Source organism: Homo sapiens, chromosome 16 (genome assembly GCF_000001405.40).
Source record: "Homo sapiens chromosome 16, GRCh38.p14 Primary Assembly".
Classification (NCBI taxonomy): Eukaryota; Metazoa; Chordata; class Mammalia; order Primates; family Hominidae; genus Homo; species Homo sapiens.
In genome coordinates this window covers 70,922,247-70,937,860 of record NC_000016.10, presented here as the reverse complement: position 1 = coordinate 70,937,860, position 15,614 = coordinate 70,922,247, and the positions used below count along the sequence as shown (strand labels likewise).

General features: G+C 44.5%; 1 protein-coding gene across 1 annotated transcript in view; it reads left to right on the top strand.

Moving 5' to 3' along the window:
- Positions 1-15,614, top strand: part of HYDIN (HYDIN axonemal central pair apparatus protein) — a 428,639-nt gene that overhangs the window by 292,862 nt on the left and 120,163 nt on the right. Inside the window, exon 45 of the mRNA NM_001270974.2 lies at positions 1,747-1,909. Within this exon, the coding sequence (NP_001257903.1) occupies positions 1,747-1,909 (163 nt within the window). The remainder of the gene's footprint in view (positions 1-1,746; positions 1,910-15,614) is intronic.

Genomic DNA, 15,614 nt, shown 5'->3' with positions numbered 1-15,614 from the left:
GGGTGGGGGGCAGTGGTTCTATTTCCTACCTCCTCCCTGGGATTTCAGGCGCTGGAGGTACAGAGCCTAGATACTCACCTACTATTTACCCTGTTCTCTCCTCCAGCTCCACACTTCTCCCACTGACCTGAAACAGCTTTTGCCCTCCCTGCTGCTACAGTATGTCCTAATCTTTTTTTTTTTTTTTTTTTGAGACAGACTCTTGCTCTGTCATCCAGGCTGGAGTTCCTCCATCACGCCTTGAGTGGCACAATCTCAGTTCACTGCAACCTCCACCTCCTGGGTTCAAGCAATTCTCCTGCCTCACTCTCCCAAGTAGCTAGGATTACAGGCATGTACCACCATGCCCGGCCAATTTTTTTGTATTTTTAGTAGAGACAGGTTTTCATCATGTTGGCCAGGCTGATCTCGAACTGAACTCCTGGGATCAAGTGATCTGCCTGCCTCAGCCTCCCAGTGTGCTGAGATTACAGGCGTGAGCCACAGCGCCCAGCTGGGTGTGCCCTGATCTTTCTGTGGCATGGTCCACTATAGAAATGCCCAGTCCTCCAGAGTTACAGAAAGCCTTGCTTTGAGATTTTAGAGGAAACTCGTTTTTCACCAGGGCTGTTGCTTTCAGGCATTCATCTCATGGTGGACTTGGAAAATGCAAATTTGATTCTCAAAGTGCAGCAACAACTTGTTTGTGTCACACCACACACGCGCACACACACACACACACATGCACACACACACACCATGAAGTAAATGAGTTTGCTTCAGTGGGCAGAGAGCCATGGCAACCAGAAACAATTAGGAATTCCTGGATGAAAATAGCTGGGTTAACTATTTTCAGAAGTACCATTCCCTCACTTGTTTGTGCTTGGTGCTTGGCTTTGGTCCACTCTCTGCTGTCAGCAGCAGGGGCAGGAGCAGTTGAATGACAGCGGAAAGGGAAAGAGAGGGTGGAGGAGGGGAACACGGCTTTCGGACTGAGCACCATGGCTCTGAGCTAGCCACCATAGAAACTGCTTTGAAAATACCGTTTCTGGCTGGGCGCAGTGGCTCATGCCTGTAATACTAGCACTTTGGGAGGTCAAGGTAGGAGGATCACCTGAGGTCATGAGTTCGAGACCAGCCTGGCCAACATGGCGAAACCCCGTCTCTACTAAAAATACAAGTTAGCCGGGCATGTTGGTGCACACCTGTAATCCTAGCTACTCAGGAGGCTTAGGCAGGAGAATTGCTTGAACCCAGGAGGTGGAGGTTGCAGTGAGCTGATCACACCACTGCACTCCAGCCTGGGTGACAGAGCGAGACTCTGTCAAAAAAAAAAAAAAATTCTTATTTTCTGAACAGCAAACATGCTCAGCTATGGGAGGCGGGCCTCATCTGCACTAATACCAGAACAATCTTTGAAAGTTGCTTTTTTTAAGTGCTAATATCAAGCTTATTTTCAGCCTTTTTCTCACTCTCCCATGAGAGGAGATTGGACTCAAAATACAGATTAATGGAGAATTCCTCCTAGTTGAGTTTCAATAAATCAGAGTCTTGATGAATGACCATTCAAACATAGATGGTAGTCATTTTTTCTTTCTTTCCTTCTCTTCCTTTCTCCTTTCCTTCCACATATCCAGCTTACTTTGTTCTTTCTTTTTATGCCCAAGAAAGCTCTGCCCAATGTCCCTACACCTGGAAATCCCAGGCAGCAGAGGGGTGAGGCATGGGGGCCCCTGAACTGTTTTTTCTCTGCCTGGTTTGATGAAGGGAGCAGGAGAGGCTGGCAAAGGAAATGCAAGAAAAGAAGCTACAGCAGGAGCTGGAGCGACAAAAGGAAGAGGATGAGCTGAAACGGAGGGTCAAAAAAGGAAAGCAGGGACCCATTAAGGAGGAGCCCCCCATGAAGAAATCTCAAGCAGCAAACAAGCAGGTAACAGCCTCACTTACTCCTTGCCAGGAGACAGAAGCAGAGGGCAGCCTGGTGCATTCCCCTTCCAGGAAATTAGCCTGATCATGTTGGGATTTTGTGGTGGGGCAGAAGGCAGGAGGAAAGGGACCAACGTTTGTTGAATGTTGATTGTATGTGAAGTGTTGTGCCTGTGTCATACATAATCCTCTCACCCTGTGAGGTTCAGAGATATGAAGATGCAGATCCAGGTCCTCACCCAGTTGGGTCTGGCCACAGCCCTTGCTCCTTCCACTGCCCCCTGCAGGGCCCAGGATGGTGCCAAATAGGCTACTATTAAAGATGTGTTCCCAGGAAGCCACAAAGCCAGTGAGCCCATGTGTCCAATCAGGAGCATACCCTTGGCAACCGTCAAGGAGATGCTTCGGCATGAGCCTATCCTCGCAGGCAAGTGCCAGTAGTTTATCAGCCTGCCAAGCACAGCAGTCACCTCCCTGCTCCCTGTGGCACTGGAAGGGCAGAGTGGCTAGAGGAGCCCCCAGAGTGATGATCCTGGCTGAAGGTTGTGACCAGCTGGTGTGGGCAGCCACGAGTCCTGAGGGTGAAGCTATAACCAGTCTCCAGACAGGGTACAGACTGGTCCAAGTAGGTGAGTGAAAGACAGTGACAGTGGCTGGGCAGAGAAATTAGTGTGCAGCGGTCTCAACCAGGGAGTGCTCAGGAAGGAGCAGGATCTAAGCATACAGAACTAGGCACAGATTTGGGATGCCTGATACTGACCTGAAGGAAATCTATGACATCTCAGGCTGAGAACAAAAGGGGGTCCCTAAGAAAAAATTACCAGGACTGATCCCTGCCTCTCCCCGGTGATTTTGTACATGAAGCCAGCAGGGAGAATTTGTGTACCTGTGTGTTTCAGCCATTATTTTTGCCATTAAACAAAGTCAATTTCTTATGTGGCATAAGTTCAGGATAATCTATGCAGAAGTTATCTACCAAGCTTGCTTTTAAAAGACAACATTTCATTCATCATTAAAAGAAAGACTATTTGCAGCACAATTAACCTCAAATTATACCCACTGACTCCATCACTGGTGTCTCCATCTGGAATCTGTTTTAAGTAGGAGCATGTGGATTTTCCTATTTTAGTGTCAGTTCAAGTTGCTGTCACCTGACCACCCACCCCCAGCCCCCGACCCCAGACCCCACTACCAGATTCAGGGCAGGTACTTTTGTATGTGCTCTGTTGACCTTGGATGGAGGTGATAAGGACCTTATGACAGTCATCCATTTGGAGACAGGCTTGTGTATCACTTGAGCTTAGTACAAAACACAATCAATCATGTTCCCTAGGGGGACTTCTTGAGACTCTTGGACTAATGCGGTTGCCTGGTCTGAAAACACTTAAGCTGAAGAAAAACTGCTGAGACTAGATGCATTCTCAGGAAGTGAAAGAAAATTCCAGGGGGAGTGCCAAGGTGAAAGGGAATGACTAAAGACCTTCCTGCTTCCTCATCAAAAGGACTGCTCTATGTCTTCGACCGTCAGCACACCTGTTTTCCTCTCTGCTCTGGCTTCAGCTCTTCTCACAGGCTTTGAAGATGTTCTCAAGAATCACCCACCTTTAAAATGAAAAAAAAAAAAGTTTTCTTCAACCCTGGTGCCCCCGACAAGCACCCCATTTCTCTCCTTCCCTTCATGCTTGTCTCCACTTGCTGGCTTTGCCTCGTCACCCCTCATTTCTGCCTCCCCGTTTCCTACCCTGATTCCTGTCTCCACCACTCCCTCGAATCCAAGGCTCCAGCCTCTCCATTTCCAGATCTAATGGGCATGGGTTAGGCCTTGACTTGCTTGACGTCCTCCTCCATGAGCTTCACACTGTGGATCGTACCCTCCTTGGATCGCTCTTCTTTCCTAGCATCCTGGTCCGCCCTTTCTGGCTTTCCTCCTTCTCCCTGGTTTCTTTCTGGACCCGCCTCCATCCATCCTTAGTCACTCTGCAGGTTTCCAGCGTCAGCCTTTGTGTCTTCCTGCTTGGTCTAAGGCTGACCCCCATCCCATGCGTGACTTCAGTGCTACCTGATCATACATAATGGGTTGGAGGAAGAGAGGAGGGGAGTCAGGAAAAGCTTGCAAATTCCAAAACGAAGTGAAGGGCATTCCAGGCAGAGGGACAGCCCAAAAGAGGGAGGAGAGAAAGGCAGAAGCCACATGAAAAAGAGCTAAACCAATGTTTTAACAACTAATAGCTACTGTGTGCTGAATTCCTGCTATGTGACACTCCCTGCTGGGAACTGTGAATAGATCCCATCACCATCTACCTCCAGTCTCCACAACACCCGCTGAGGGAGATATGATCATCACCATCATTTTGGAGATGAGGAAGCTGGAATGCAGCACAGTTAAGTGATGCACCCAAGGTCACATGGCCAGAAGGCGGTGGGGGCAGGCCCAATTTGTCCAACTCCAAAGCAGGCACTCCTTTTCCTGGTTCTTGCACTGCCTCCCAAGCCCTTAGTCCATCCATGGCTCCTGACACTTCTTCAGATTGTCCCTCGGACACTGGTAACTCAACACGGCCCACACCAAGCTCATCATCTATGCTGCCTTTCTTCCAGACCTCTTCCTGGCCCTATATTCCTCCCCAACCCTTCTTTCAGCTCCCAGGCCCAAATCCCAGAGTCACCCTGACCCTGTCACTTCTGCACCTTCACCCCATGACCAACCAGGAGCCCTGTGAGGGAGTCCCCCTCCTAAATTGTTCTCAAGCCCGTCCCAGACTAGGGCTCTCCTTTCTTCCCCATCCCCAGCTGTCTCACCCGTCTTTGCTGTGGTACTGTGTAGCTACATGGTAATTCCATCATCACACCCCCTGGTTTTCTGGTTCTGGAAACAGGATGGGGAAGAGGACACAGTTTGCAGAAACATAAAGTGTATTTTTCTGTTTTTCTTGCTTGTTGCCAAATTAGTTTAATATCCATGGAAGGAAATCATAGTGGAGAGACCAAAAGTGTCTCACTTAGAGCGGAATCTTTGTACATATCCATGCTTACTTCCTTAGGATACATTTCTAAACATGTCATTCCAGGGTTGAAAGGTGTGTATTTTACCCCTGACCTCACAGGCTATAGGTTTTAGCATTCCTTTTAATCCTTGCTGACTAGATTCGATGGGTGAACAACTGAATATTTTTATTGCTTGGATTTGCATTTCTTGAATTGTTAATGAGGTGAACCTTTAAAAAAAAACATGCTGGTTGGCCACTGAACTCCTCTTCAGGATTTTATTTAAACATCCCAGCAAGGCCTTCCCTGGCCACTCTATTTAAAATTGAATAAGACAAAAGCAAAAACAAAACAAACAAACGAAAACCAACAAAAAAAAAAACCCACTTCTTAGCCCCTTCCCTGTCTTCTTAGCACTCATCACCATCTCACATACCATAGATTTTTATGTGATTTTGTCTGCCTACCTGCCCCTGCAAAATATAAGCCTCATGAAGGCTGAGGCTTTTGTCTGTTTTGATCACTTAATGAGTCTCCCACCTGGCAGAAAGGTGCTCAAAAATATTTGTTTTATGTGTGGGTATGTTTTTGTTTATTTTTTATTTCTTTATTTTTTGAGACAGAATCTTGCTCTGTCGTCTAAGCAGGAATGCAGTGGCTCGATCTCGGCTCACTGCAACCTCCGCTTCCCATGTTCAAGTGATTCTCCTGCCTCAGCGTCCCGGGTAGCTGGGATTACAGGCGCCCGCCACCACACTCGGCTAATTTTTATATTTTTAGTAGAGACAGGCTTTCACCATGTTGGCTAGGCTGGTCTCGAACTCCTGACCTCAGGTGATCCACCCACCTCAGCCTCCCAAAGTGCTGGGATTACAGGTGTGAGCCACTGCGCCTGGCCAATCACTTTTTTTTTTATTTTGTGGATTGTTTTTACCTTTTTTTTTTTTTTTTTTTTTTTTTTGATACAAGTCTCGCTCTGTCGCCCAGGCTACAGTGCAGTGGTGGGATCTCGGCCGCAACCTCCACCTCCTGGGTTCAAGCGCTTCTCCTGTCTCAGCTTCCCAAGTAGCTGGGATTATAGGCACCCACCACCATGCCTGGCTAATTTTAGTATTTTTTGTAGAGACAGGATTTCACCATATTGGCCAGGCTGGTCTTGAACTCCTGACCTCAAGTGATCCATCCACCTTGGCCTCCCAAAGTGCTGGGATTACAGGCATGAGCCACCACACCCAGCCTGTTTTTGCCTTTCTAATCGGAAGATTTCCTTCCATCTAATAGCCTACTGCTCTTTAACTGTTTATCCTATAAAATGAAATCTGCTGGTGATTCTGATTTTCTCTATATCAGCTTTTCAAATCTGAATATGCACGCAAATCACCTAGGGATCCTGTTAATATGCAGAGAGGTTCCGATTCCGTAGGTCTGGGCTGGGGCATGAGACTATATTTCTAACAAGTCCCAGGTCACATTCATGCTGCTGGCTCTTGGGTCACACTCTGAGTAGCAAGGCTGTAAGCAGTTGCGTAGCAGCCAACACTAACGTTAGCAAAAGCACAGTCTCAAGTGGATATATTGTCAGGAATCTTTAAACTGCAAGAAATAGAAGACTCAATTCAGGCCATCTGTGGTGGTGTGCACCTGTAGTCCCAGCCACTCAGGAGGCTGAAACAGGAGGATTGCATGAGCTCAGGAATTTGAATCCAGCCTGGACAACACAGCAAGACCCTGTATTAAAAAAAAAAAAAAAAAAAAAAAAACAGAAGAAAGAGAGACAGAAAACCCAATTCAAAAAACGTTAAAAAAAATTTATTTGCTCACATGTATGAAAATTCATGGCTTGTTCCTTCCTGAATTCTTATTTCAGATACTGTATTTTTCACTTCTAAAATTTCCACTTGGTTCTTTTTAAATTTTTCAGTTTATCTGCTTGGATTTCCTTCTGCCTTACTGATCATAGTTATAATAGCTGCATATAGTTCTTGTCTGACAGTTCCTCCATCTGAGTCATCTCAGGGTTGGCATAGTTGACTGTCTTTTCCTTTGAGAATTTGTCACAGTTTCCTGACTCTTCATATGACAAGTAATTTTGTATCACATCCTGAAATTTTTTAATGTTATGTTGCAGACTCTGTATTGTATTATAATTCTCCAAAGAATGTTGATATTTTAGGTTTAACAGACAATTAAGCTTGGTTGGATCAAGTTTTGGTCTTTTGCATCTGCAGTGGTCAGTGACTAAGATGTCAGTTCCATTCTTTAGACCTTAATTACAAATTGCTTCCAGTTTGCCCCCCGCACACATAGTTCAAGAGTCAGCCAGCCAGAGATTTAGGCTGCTTATACAGAAAATGCGGGGTTCCTCTTCTTTGGCTCTCTCTCCTTTCTGGGGTTTCCCTTTCACTCTCTGGAGGCTCTGAATGCTCCAGGACTTCTTTCTGTGGCTCCTCTAGAATGAAGATTGGTGGGTCTTTCTTTTTTTTTTCTTTTGAGACAGAGTCTCACTCAGTCGCCTAGGCTGGAGTGCAGTGGCGCAATCTTGGCTCACTGCAACCTCCGCCTCCCAGGTTCAAGCCATTCTCCTGCCTCAGCCTCCCAAGTAGCTGGGACTGCAGACGTGTGCCACCATGCCCGGCTAATTTTTGTATTTTTAGTAGAGACGGGGTTTCGCCATGTTGGCCAAGATGGTGTGGAACTCCTGACCTCAGGTGACCCTCCCACCTCGGCCTCTGAAAGTGCTGGGATTACAGGCGTGAGCCACTGTGCCCAGCCCGGTTGGTGGTTTTTTCTATTGTGGTGTGGCCACCAGCCACTACACTGCCATGACTATCTTCAGTGTAAAGCCATGAAAAAGGAGGAAGAGGACTTACTTTATGCAACTCTCTTATTCCGAGTTTCAACAGCCCCTTTAAAAACTGCCTAATTTGTTTTTAGTCTCTAGAGCTCTCAGGGAGTTATGTTTCTATTTCATTCAGTCTGTAGCTGTTATGTATGGGACAATCAGTTTGCTGGTTGTTCATTCCCACGCATGAGAACCATAAACCCCCATGCAGAGTTCTTTGCCTGCATCTCTTGGCTCACCTGTGCTGGTTCCAGTCTCTGACTGATGCCCTCCACGTGAGAGCCCCCGAAAGTTCTGGCTTAGATTCGCCTAAATCCAAACCCAGCTGGAAAGGAGTGCTTCGTTAAACACCATTTTGGCCACAGTGCTGGCTTTCACTCTCACTGGAGAGTGCCATGTGCCTGCTCTGAACCAGTCCCCTTGGCCAGGGGGATGCCATTCTGTGACTGGTCAGTTCTGAATCTGCTTGCTCCTGGAGGAAGAGGTATTGCACAGAGCAAGAATCAAGGATGGGAAAATAAAGGGATGTTGGAAAAGAAAAAAACATCACAGAACCAGCTATAATGGGAGACAGGAAAGGAAGTGAGAAATACACCTGTCAGTCTGGAAACTCAAAGACTAATCTGTGAAGCTGTGAATTTGTCATATACCCTCTGGGCCAAAGTTTCCTTATCTCATCCCTAGATGATCTCTAAGTTCCCTTCCTGCTCCAGTCTTCTCTGTCCTCTTGAAAAGCCTGTTATCTCTTAAAATTTTTGTTTCAGAAATCTAACCAAAAAAGTGCACTTCAACTAAATCTGATCCTCGTTGTTGTTGTTGTTGTTTTGTTTTGTTTCTTCAGATGGAGTTTCACTCTTGTCGCCCAGGCTGGGGTGCAATGGCACAATCTCTGCTCACTGCAACCTCTACCTCCCAGGTTCAAGCTATTCTCCTGCCTCAGCCTCCCGAGTAGCTGGGATTACAGGCATGCACCACCACGCCCAGCTAATTTTTGTATTTTTAGTAGAGACAAGGTTTCACCATGTTGATCAGCCTGGTCTCAAACTCCTGACCTCAGGTGATCCACCTGCCTTGGCCTCCCAAAATGCTGGGATTACAGGTGTGAGCCACCGCGCCCAACAAAAATAATCCTGTTTTAAACAAATGGATGATGATTTCTCACTGAAGAAGAAGAAAGCCTTGCATCTGGCCATCGTCCTTGTTTCTACTTTGAACTTTCCTTTGCTTCCTTCTTCTTTCTCTTTTCTGTCAAAAATCTTCCTCTCTATCCTCCAGCTCAATCTTAAACCCAATTCCATCCCTCTCAATTTGCCTTCCTCCCTCAAATAAGCCCTTGCCAGCCATCATTTCTTACTCCAAATCTATAAAAGCAAATTTCTCCCAAATGTTATTCCTTAAAAAGAAAGTTTACCTTTATGTTTATATTTTGGATCAATGGTTTCTTTTGTATTGGCTGTTATTTACTAAAGTACAATTGAACAAAGCCTAGTGGAAATTTGATCCATGTAATCACTTGACTAAATAGTGTGTTAATAGACTAGAAAGAGTCTTATTTTCCTCAGCCATCACCTTCAAGTGTTTCTGTTGAAGATGCAAGAGTCTTAGAATAATTTAACCTCATTTAACCACATGGACCCATTGACCCTGTTTTTTGTTTTTTGTTTTTTTTTTAGGCAGGGTCTGACTCCATCACCCAGGTGCTGGAGTGCTTGGCGTGATCACCACTCACTGCAGCCTTGATCTCCCCCAGGCTCAGGTGATCTTCCCACCTCAGCCTCCCGAGTAGCTGGGACTGCAGGCGTGCACCACCACGTCTGGCTAATTTTTTTGTAGAAATGTGGTTATGCCATGTTGCCCAAGCTGTTCTCAAACTCCCGGGCTCAAGCAGTCCACCCGCCTCGGCCTCCCAAAGTGCTACCCTCTTCTAAATTATATGCTAATGTAGTTATGTATTTGAATTCTCACTATATATTTTTTAATGCACAAACATTATTGATTAAAACAATCAATTTGCATTTATTTTTACCTAAATGCCCATTTATCAATATTTATCAATATGCATTTCTCAGCACCCTCCTAAACACTCTTTAACTGCTTTCTACATCTCTTGTGTCTGTTTTCTTTTACCTAAAGAACATTCCTGGGTGTTTGTTTTTTTTGTTTTTTGTTTTTTTTTTTTAGGTACAGGTTCTTTGGCAACAAATTACTCAAGTTTTGCTTGTCCGAAATGTCTTTACTTCACCTTGATGTTTCAAGGGTGTTTTTTTCTAGGCAGGCCTCTAGGTTGCCAGCCATTTTTCTTCAGCACTTTGATGATATTATTTTTCTATCTTTGTCTTCCATGTGGCTGTTGAGATGTCGGCTGTCGGCATGATTGTGCTCCTTCTGTGTTAGCCTTGATGCAGGGCAGGTGAGCCCCACAGTGGGGCTTAGCCCAGAGGGTTCTTGGCTTTGCCCAGGAAAGTATTCAAGGGCAAGCTGGAGGTGGAAGAAAACAGCTTTATTGAAGAGGCAGTGTGACCGTTCTGTGACTGCTCCTGCCCAGCACTTTGACTGCTCCTGCCCAGCAGGGCTACCCTGTAGGCAGAGAGTAGCAGCCCAGGACAGTTTACAGTAGTATTTATACGACTGTAGTTGCATGCAGATGAAGGGGCAGTATAGCAGAAATTTCTAGGGAAGAGGTCTTTTGGGTCATTGAGTCATTGCCCTGAAAGGGGTGGTAACTCCTGGGTGTTGCCATGGCAGTGATATATTGACATGGCACACTGGTGGGCATGTCTGATTGGAAAGCTGTTTCCACCCCCACCCTGTTTTAGCGAGTCCTCAATCTGGTCCAGTGTCTGAGCCCCGCCTCCTACCTCATTCTGACTCTAACTGCCTTTAAGATGTTTCTCTTTGTTTTTAAGGTCTCAACACCTTTAAGATGTCGAGTCTTCATTCAGTAATTTACTATGATTTGCCTAGGTGTGGTTTTCTTTGTATTTTATCCTACTTGGGGTTTATAGTGATTCTTGAATATGTGGGCTGGGAACCATTAGCCACTAACTCTTCCAGATTTCTTCTCCATTCTTTCTCTCCTCTCCGTCTAGGATTCCAATCATAAATGTGCTAGGCCTTTTTGCAAACCTTTCACAGTAATATATGTCCGTTGTGCTTTTTCTATGTTCTACATACTTTTGTCCTCTCTTTATACTGAATATTTTCTTCTGACATATGGTCTAGTTCGCTGTCTTTTTTTCAGTGAGGTCTAACCTGCTATTCAAACTTCCTTTCAGTTTTTCATTTTGTTATTGCATTAAAAAGCCATTAATTCTTTTCTTACTATTTCTAGTTCTCTTTAAAATTCTCACTTCTCAATAGTGTCTTAATTCCCTCAGCATATTAAATATGTTTTAAAGTCCTTGTCTTATAGTGCCATACGTAGATCCCCAGCAGTCTGGTCTCCCGTCTGTCTTTTGCTCTTGCTTTATGGTCACATGGTTTTGTCTCTTTAGATGCCAAGTATTTTTTTTTTATTATTATACTTTAAGTTTTAGGGTACATGTGTACAATGTGCAGGTTAGTTACATATGTATACCTGTGCCATGCTGGTGTGCTGCACCCATTAACTCGTCATTTAGCATTAGGTATATCTCCTAATGCTATCCCTCCCCTCTCCCCCCACCCCACAACAGTCCCCAGAGTGTGAGGTTCCCCTTCCTGTGTCCATGTGTTCTCATTGTTCAGTTCCCACCTATGAGTGAGAACATGCGGTGTTTGGTTTTTTGTCCTTGCAATAGTTTACTGAGAATGATGATTTCCAATTTCATCCATGTCCCTACAAAGGACATGAGCTCATCATTTTTTATGGCTGCATAGTATTCCATGGTGTCTATGTGCCACATTTTCTTAATCCAGTCTATCATTGTTGGACATTTGGGTTGGTTCCAAGTCTTTGCTATTGTGAATAGTGCCGCAATAAACATACATGCGCATGTGTCGTTATAGCAGTATGATTTATAGTCCTTTGGGTATATACCCAGTAATGGGATGGCTGGGTCAAATGGTATTTCTAGTTCTAGATCCCTGAGGAATCGCCACACCGACTTCCACAATGGTTGAACTAGTTTACAGTCCCACCAACAGTGTAAAAGTGTTCCTATTTCTCCACATCCTCTCCAGCACCTGTTGTTTCCTGACTTTTTAATGATTGCCATTCTAACTGGTGTGAGATGATATCTCATTGTGGTTTTGATTTGCATTTCTCTGATGGCCAGTGATGGTGAGCATTTTTTCATGTGTTTTTTGGCTGCATAAATATCTTCTTTTGAGAAGTGTCTATTCATGTCCTTCGCCCACTTTTTGATGGGGTTGTTTGTTTTTTTCTTGTAAATTTGTTTGAGTTCATTGTAGATTCTGGATATTAGCCCTTTGTCAGATGAGTAGGTTGCGAAAATTTTCTCCCATTTTGTAGGTTGCCTGTTCACTCTGATGGTAGTTTCTTTTGCTGTGCAGAAGCTCTTTAGTTTAATTAGATCCCATTTGTCAATTTTGTCTTTTGTTGCCATTGCTTTTGGTGTTTTAGACATGAAGCCCTTGCCCATGCCTATGTCCTGAATGGTAATGCCTAGGTTTTCTCCTAGGGTTTTTATGGTTTTGGGTCTAACGTTTAAGTCTTTAATCCATCTTGAATTGATTTTTGTATAAGGTGTAAGGAAGGGATCCAGTTGACAAACCTGAGAAAAACAAGCAATGGGGAAAGGATTCCCTATTTAATAAATGGTGCTGGGAAAACTGGCTAGCCATATGTAGAAAGATGCCAAGTGTTTTTTTAAAGATAGGGGTCTTGCTTGCCCAGGCTGGTCTAGGACTGCTGGCCTCAAGCAATCCTCCCATCTCAGCCTCCCAAACTGCTGAGATTACAGGCATGAGCCACCATGCCCACCCCAGGTTTTTATCAAGGGCAAGATATTGAACAGAAAAAAACGTTTTGAGGCTCTGGAAGATGTTGTCTCCCTCCAGAGAGAATCACTGTTTGATGCTGGCAGTCAGCTAGGCTAGGAGCACTAGAAACCTTGACTCAATCAGGACTGAGATCATTTTAAACTGAGCTTCAGTCCCTGGGAGGGCGGGGCTATTTCAGGTGGACCTTTTTTTTTCTTTTTCTTTTTCTTTTTTCCACTGTTATTTTAAGTACGGGGGTACACGTGCAGGATGTGCAGGTTTGTTACATAGGTAAACGTGTGCCGCCATGGTTTGCTGCACAGATCATCCCATCACCTAGATGTTAGGCCCAGCGTTTATTAACTATTCTTCCTGATGCTCTCCCTCGTCCTGCCCCCCAACCCCTGACAGACCACAGTGTGTATTGTCCCCTGACCCATGTGTCCATGTGTCCTCATCATTCAGCTCCCACTTATAAGGCAGAACACGTAATATTTGGTTTTCTGTTCCTGCATTAGTTTGCTGAGGATAATAGCCTTCCAGCTTCATCCATGTCCCTGCAAAGGACAGGTTGACCCTTATTCCTAATATGGAGCCTTTCGGAGACCTAACCCAAAGGCCAGGGGATTTACCAGGACCTCTTTTCCTTGGCAGGCCTGGAGTCTTAATTTTTGAACCCCAGCCCCATGAGTCTGTCAGAAGTTTTGCTCAGCTTCTCAACCACACTGTCAGCTACAAATACCCTCGAGGGAAGAGCAGCCCCAAATGCTGGGCCCACTTCTCTGTATTTGTCTCCTCTCCCAGATCTTAGCCTGCAACTCATGACTGCCTTTGTGGCTCTCCAGTGCTTTCAGACACATAGGTTTTCAAAACGTTTTGTAAAGATTTTCTACTTGTGGGTGTGGAATTTTATCAAGTGATTTTTCTGCATCCATTGACATGATTGTATTTCTTTTTCTTCTTTGGTAGGACCACACAGTGGGTTACATATTACATTATTGAATCAGTTTGTTTGGGGCTTAAATGTTTATTCAGCTTTTACCTTTTGCTTTCCGAGTTAATTTGGTCATTCATGATTTTCTGAAAAAGTATTAATTTTTTATCAGATTTTCACATTTATTGGCATGAGGAAATTAATGGTTTTGTCTTACTATCTTTTTAACCTCTTCCATTATTTCTGTTATACTTGTATTATTTCTATTATGTCCTCTCGGACATTTCACATGTTGTTTATTTGTACCTTTCTCTTTGTTTTTCCTCAATCAACCTTACTAGAAGTTTGTCATTTTTATTATCTTTCCAAAGAAACAACTTTTGCCTTTGTGGATTATCTTCATTTTATGTTTTCTGTTTCATTAGTTTCTGTTCTTTTTTTTTTTTTTTTTGAGACAGAGTCTTGCTCTGTCGCCGAGGCCGGAGTGCAGTGGCATGATCTCGGCTCACTGCAAGCTCTGCCTCCCTGGTTCATGCCATTCTCCTGCTTCAGCCTCCTGAGTAGCTGGGACTACAGGCACCTGCCACCACACCCAGCTAATTTTTTTTTTTTTTTTTTTTTTTTGTATTTTTTAGTAGAGACGGGGTTTCACCGTGTTAGCCAGGATGGTCTAGATCTCCTGACCTCGTGATCCGCCCACCTCGGCCTCCCAAAGTGCTGGGATTACAGGCTTGAGCCACCACACCTGGCCTGTTCTTATTTTTTAATAATATCCTTCTTTCTTTTTTTTTTTTTTTTTTTTGGAGATGGAGTTTCACTCTTGTTGCCGAGGCTGGAGTGCAATGGTGCAATCTCAGCTTACTGCAACCTCCACCTCCCGGGTTCAAGCAATTCTCCTGCCTCACCCTCCCAAGTAGCTGAGATTACAGGTGCCCACCACCATGCCTGGCTAATTTTTGTGTTTTTAGTAGAAATGGGCTTTCGTCATGTTGGCCAGGCTGGTCTAGAACTCCTGACCTCAGGTGATCTGCCCACCTCGGCCTCCCAAAGTGCTGGGATTACAGTTGTAAGCCACCGTGCCTGGCCCCTTCTTTCTACTTTATTTGTGTTATTATTCCGTTCTTTTTCTAACTTCTTGAAGTGATGCTTATCTTATTAATTTTCAATCGTTTTTCTTTTGCAATTTATGAAAAGTTATAAAAGGGGCCAGGCATAGTGGCTTATGCCTGTAATCCCAACACTTTGGGAGGCTGAGACAGGCAGATCACTTGAACTCAGGGGTTCAAGACCAGCCTGGGCAACATGGCAAAACTGTGTCTCTACAAAAAAATTAAAAATTAGCCAGGCATGGTGGCACATGCCTGTAGTCCCAAGCTACTTGGGAGGCTGAGGTGGGAGAATTACCGAGCCCAGAAAATTGAGGCCACAGTAAGCTGTGATCATACCACTACACTCCAACTTGTCTAAAAAAAAAAAAAAAAAAAAAGGTTATAAAAGCATTTAAAGACATATAAACTTCCAAACTGTTTTAGATATAGTCCTCATTTGTTGATATTCAGTGTTTTCATTGTTCAATTCTAAATATTTTCTACTCTCCTTTATGGCTGCTTCTTTAATCCATGAATTATTTCCAAGTATATTTTCTAATTTCCAAATGAACAGCTTCATTTTGCCTTCTCTTTTTAGTCCTGATTTTGATAACTATCCGCAGAGTACATGCTCTATGTCATATTGATCTTTTGCATCTGTGGAGCCTTGCTGTGTGGCCTCATCGGTGACTGGTTTCTGTAAATGTTCCACGTGTGTTTGAATAGTGTGTGTATTTTCTTTCTGCATCTATTTGCCCAAGTCCATTAATCATGTTGTTAAAATTGTCCATATTCTTCATAGTTTACTGCTAGCCTCCAGCTGCTCTACGCTGGGCTCCCACAGTCTTGCAAGTACAAGTCCTTCCCTCACTGGGCCCCATCTTCCGTGCAAACCCAGGTGTCTTGGCAGAGCGTGAAGGAATAGGAGCCAAGTCCC